This window comes from Homo sapiens, chromosome 4, assembly GCF_000001405.40.
Source record: "Homo sapiens chromosome 4, GRCh38.p14 Primary Assembly".
Taxonomy (NCBI): Eukaryota; Metazoa; Chordata; class Mammalia; order Primates; family Hominidae; genus Homo; species Homo sapiens.
The window spans coordinates 152,001,729-152,005,951 of NC_000004.12; the positions used below are offsets into that span (position 1 = coordinate 152,001,729).

The window sequence follows — 4,223 nt, forward strand, 5'->3', positions numbered from 1 at the left end:
CCTTCAGATTTTTACTATTACATTAACTAAGTAAATACTGTACACACTTGCATGACTTTTCCAGGGAATAAGTTCCTCTAAGTGAAATTTCTGGATTAAAATTTGTATGCATTTGAAATTGTATTAGTAACATTCAATTTCTCTCTAAAAAGATTATACCAGTTTACATTCCCACAGCAGTTTATGACTAGACGTTAGACATTATTGATCTTCATTTTTCCAATCTAATTGCTGGGAAATGTGACTCTGTTTTAATTTGTATGTATCTGATCACTAGGGAGGTATGTAGGTCTTCTTAAATGTTATCTGTTTTAATAGCCTTGCCTATAAATTAACTCTTCTGGTCTTTTTCCATTTTAAAACTTTATTCTTTGTATATTAAGAATATTAACTTTTGTCCATGTCAATTATAAATATTTTTATTAGCCTATCATTTGCTTTTTTTTTTCTTTTTTGAGACGGAGTTTCACTCTTGTTGCCCAGGCTGGAGTGCAATGGTGCGATCTTGGCTCACTGCTTCTCGGGTTCAAGCAATTCTCCTGCCTCAGCCTCCCGAGTAGCTGGGATTACAGGTGTGCACCACCACACCCAGCTAATTTTTTGTATTTTTAGTAGAGACAGGGTTTCACCATGGCCAGGCTGGTCTTGAACTTCTGACCTCAGGTGATCCGCCCACCTCAGCCTTCCAGAGTGCTGGGATTACAGGCGTAAGCCACCACGCCTGGCTTTTTGCTTTGTTTATAGTGTTTTGTTCTGTATAAAAAATTTTCTGTTTTATATAATAAAATCTGTCAGCACTTTCTTTCATGGTCTCTAGGTTTCCTAGAGAAGGTCTTCCTGATAGGGTAAATTTAGGAAGGTCTTCCCAATAGGGTAAATTTTTCAGGAGAGTGTGCTGGAAGAGACAATATTCCCAGCAATGATGTGATACTGATGAGGCTGAGGCTGCTGGGGGGGCTGGGTGGAGGTGTTGCCACTGCAAGTCACTGTTAAGTGACTCTTAGCTTTTTGTGTGCCATATATTTATCTGAGATTCTGATAAAAGGTATGGACCCCAGACACAATTTTGACTATGATTTCAGAGGTTTTACAGACCACTTGAAGTTTATCACAGACCCCTGCTTATCTTCATCTGGTTAAGGACCCTCCTTATTGCATTGGAAAATATCCAATCTAGGAAAACGTTTCAAATGATTTCTGCTGTCAAATATAGACCCTCAACTGACTCCTCCAGTAAAATTTCACCTGGGAAGCTGGGTATTCTAAGGCAGCCTCTTTCTGTAACCCACTTGCCTACCCTGGAAATTCATGACTCTTCCTGTCCCTGAATGTAAGGACTAGCGTCACCCTAGCTTAGGACCAGCATTCTCAGCCCTTCCCAGTAGAGCAACCTTTTTCACTGCACCCATGCATTCCCTACAGTCACTCTGACTTCATTGGATTTCAGACCCAGGGAGATGACAGCTGAGGCTCAGAGCTGGAGGGTGGGTGTGGGATTGTGGGGAGGGATGCTAAGGGCGGCAAGACACCGTCAAGAAGATTAGAATCTACCTGCCTTTGAAGAGCCCATGATGAAGGACATTAAATTTAGCAGCAGGGTCTTACAAAGGCTCTGTTCTTGAGTCTGTCTGTTGAGTCCTCTCTGTTGAGATTTTGCCCTTTGCATATGTCCTATGATGCTATTATCTCTTGGAGATCTAAGTTGGAGTATCTTTTTCTTGTTTCATTTGCAGGAAATCTTTTTGGCTTACATTCTCTATCAACTAATTTCTTCAAAGGTTAGTCTTTCTAAAACCACAAAATGCTGGTTGCCTACAACCCAGTTGCTCCTCCTTCGTCCGTTGGTCCATGTCTATATTCTCTCTTCATTGTCTGCCACAATCAGCATTCTCCACGCTGTGAAGATGGAAGGGGAATTTTAAATTTCTTTTGGTGGAAAAGTTACTTTCAACTTCAAGGATAAATAAGAGTTAATTTATTCACCATATATAAGTGCCTGGTGGTTCCTGTGTAACACAATGAAACATTCTCCCCTGTACCTCCTCAAAACATACACACACATTTTACATAAGACTACAGTAACCTAAGAAGAGAGCCTCCTTAACATTTTATAACATATTGTATAAGCCAAGGGGCAAACCTGGCTAAAGTAGGCAGTATTTTTAGTGGTACAGATTCCTGAGCCCAGCCTGGACTTTGGATTAGATGCTTTGAGGGTAAGCCCTGAGAGTCCTCATGCCCAGCCTAGATAACTTCGTCGGTGGTTTGCTGTATGTAGCCAGCCCGGCACAGGTATGAAAACTGGGAGAGTTTACAGTGACAAAGAGTAAAAGTATATTATATAATCATGCAAAGTAAAAGAAGCAGATAAATCCTCTTTTCCTGGAAATTGGGGAACAATTTATGGAAGAATGAGTATTTCAGACCAACCTGAATGAAGAGAGCTCATGAAGGAGCAGGCGTTGTAGGCAGCAATGGAGCCAGGGAGAGATTCAGAAGCAGGCATGGAAAAAAGGGGAATTATATGGATATCCTGGGAGAAATGAAGAGGCCAGGCTGGCTTGCTTCAGGTTTTGTGATCCTTCACTCTTCTGGGATTCCCCACCTTTGATGAGAAAGTGCTTTCATCCTCAGAACCATGCAACTGGACAGAGGGAAGATGTGCATTGATAGCAGTAAGGTTCCCAAGCTGATCAGACGGTGTCTCCCCGGCCAGAAATCCCTGCATGGAGCTATACCTCTTGCCTGAGCAACCCACCACCAGGGTCTCCAAGGCCACCCAACCCTTGCTGCACATTAGAATCACCTGGACCCTTTTTAAAAATACCAATGCCCAGGCCCCTTCCCCAATATTCTGATTTACAAGGTCTGGGGTGGGGCTCCAGCATAGGTATTTTTTAAAGTCCCCAGATGATTCTAATGTGCAGCCACAGTTGAGAACTACTGACCTGGCCAGTTGCAACCAACTAGCTGGGAAATTGTTGTTGACTTTGACCCTCAGTTTCCTCATCTGTTCTGGGGGATGTTGCCGAGGTGATGTCGTGGGTCTCCAGGACCTCCCTTCTGTCCTCTTCTCTTTGAAGGCATCTGGTTCTCTCTCCGAGCCTCTCTACTGCTCCTCGTGGTGTTTTGCTCCCATCTTTTCCCCTTCATATCTTATCTGCTATGCTTTCGTTCCTGTGAGCCCAGATCTCTGCTAAGTGACAAAGACTGCTAATTGCTTAATCAGATAAACTAATTGCTGTTAACACTACCTGGCGGAAGCATTCCCTTGCAAGTAAAACGCTACCTTGAGCCACTAAGGTTGTGCTCCCCAAGGAGTGAAGAGCAGTCTCTACATGTGATTTTCAGGCAGGGCTGATAGTGAATACCAGGGCCTGGCAGTTCCTCCAGGCCTACCACAGAGGGGCCGTATCTTTGAACAGAGAAAGTGTAGATAGAGAAAACAGCAGAGCCCCGACCTTACTGACTATTTGAAACTGGGCCATTACTTGGTTTCTCTGTTGTTTAGGGTGTAGCAACACTTACCTTCCAGAATTGTCATTAAGGGCCCATAAAAAGATGTGGCATGTTGTAGGTGTTCTATAAATATTAGCCTCCATTTTTCTTCCAAAATCCAGATTCAAATACACTTTTCAATAGCTACATCTCACTTTTAATACCAGGGTTTAAATCTGTAGCTAAGCCATGTCTCTCTCATCCTGCACTTGGGCAATTTTTTTTCTTTTCTTTTTGCTTTTTTTTTTTTTTTTTTTGAGACAGAGTTTCGCTCTTTGTTGCCCAGACTGGAGTGCAATGGTGCAATCTCAGCTCACTGCAACCTCCGCCTCCCGGGTTCAAGCAATTCTCCTGCCTCAGCCTCCCAAGTAGTTGGGATTACAAGTGCCCACCACCATGCCTGGCTAATTTTTGTATTTTTAGTAGAGACGAGGTTTCACCATGTTGGCCAGGCTAGTCTCGAATTCCTGACCTCAGGTGATCTGCCCACCTCAGCCTCCCAAAATGCTGGGATTACAGGTGTGAGCCACCATGCCCTGCTTCAATTATTTTTTCTTGTGGTGAAATAACACATGACATGAACTTCACCAGTTTAACGATTTTTAAGTGTATGGTTCGTAATATTAAGCACATTCACATAATTGTACAACCATCACTTCCACATTGTATTACACATCCAATTCCAGAACTCTTAATTCTGCAAAACTGAAACTCAATTAAATAAT

At 42.7% G+C, this 4,223-nt stretch overlaps 1 annotated feature.

Annotated features, from left to right (window-relative positions):
* Positions 2,947 to 3,448: an enhancer, noted in NCBI's record as "NANOG hESC enhancer chr4:152925827-152926328 (GRCh37/hg19 assembly coordinates)". NCBI's record gives its function as "activates a minimal SCP1, AML or CMV promoter by ChIP-STARR-seq in naive H9 embryonic stem cells {active_cell/tissue: H9 hESC(naive)}" and the evidence as "EXISTENCE:reporter gene assay evidence [ECO:0000049][PMID:30033119]".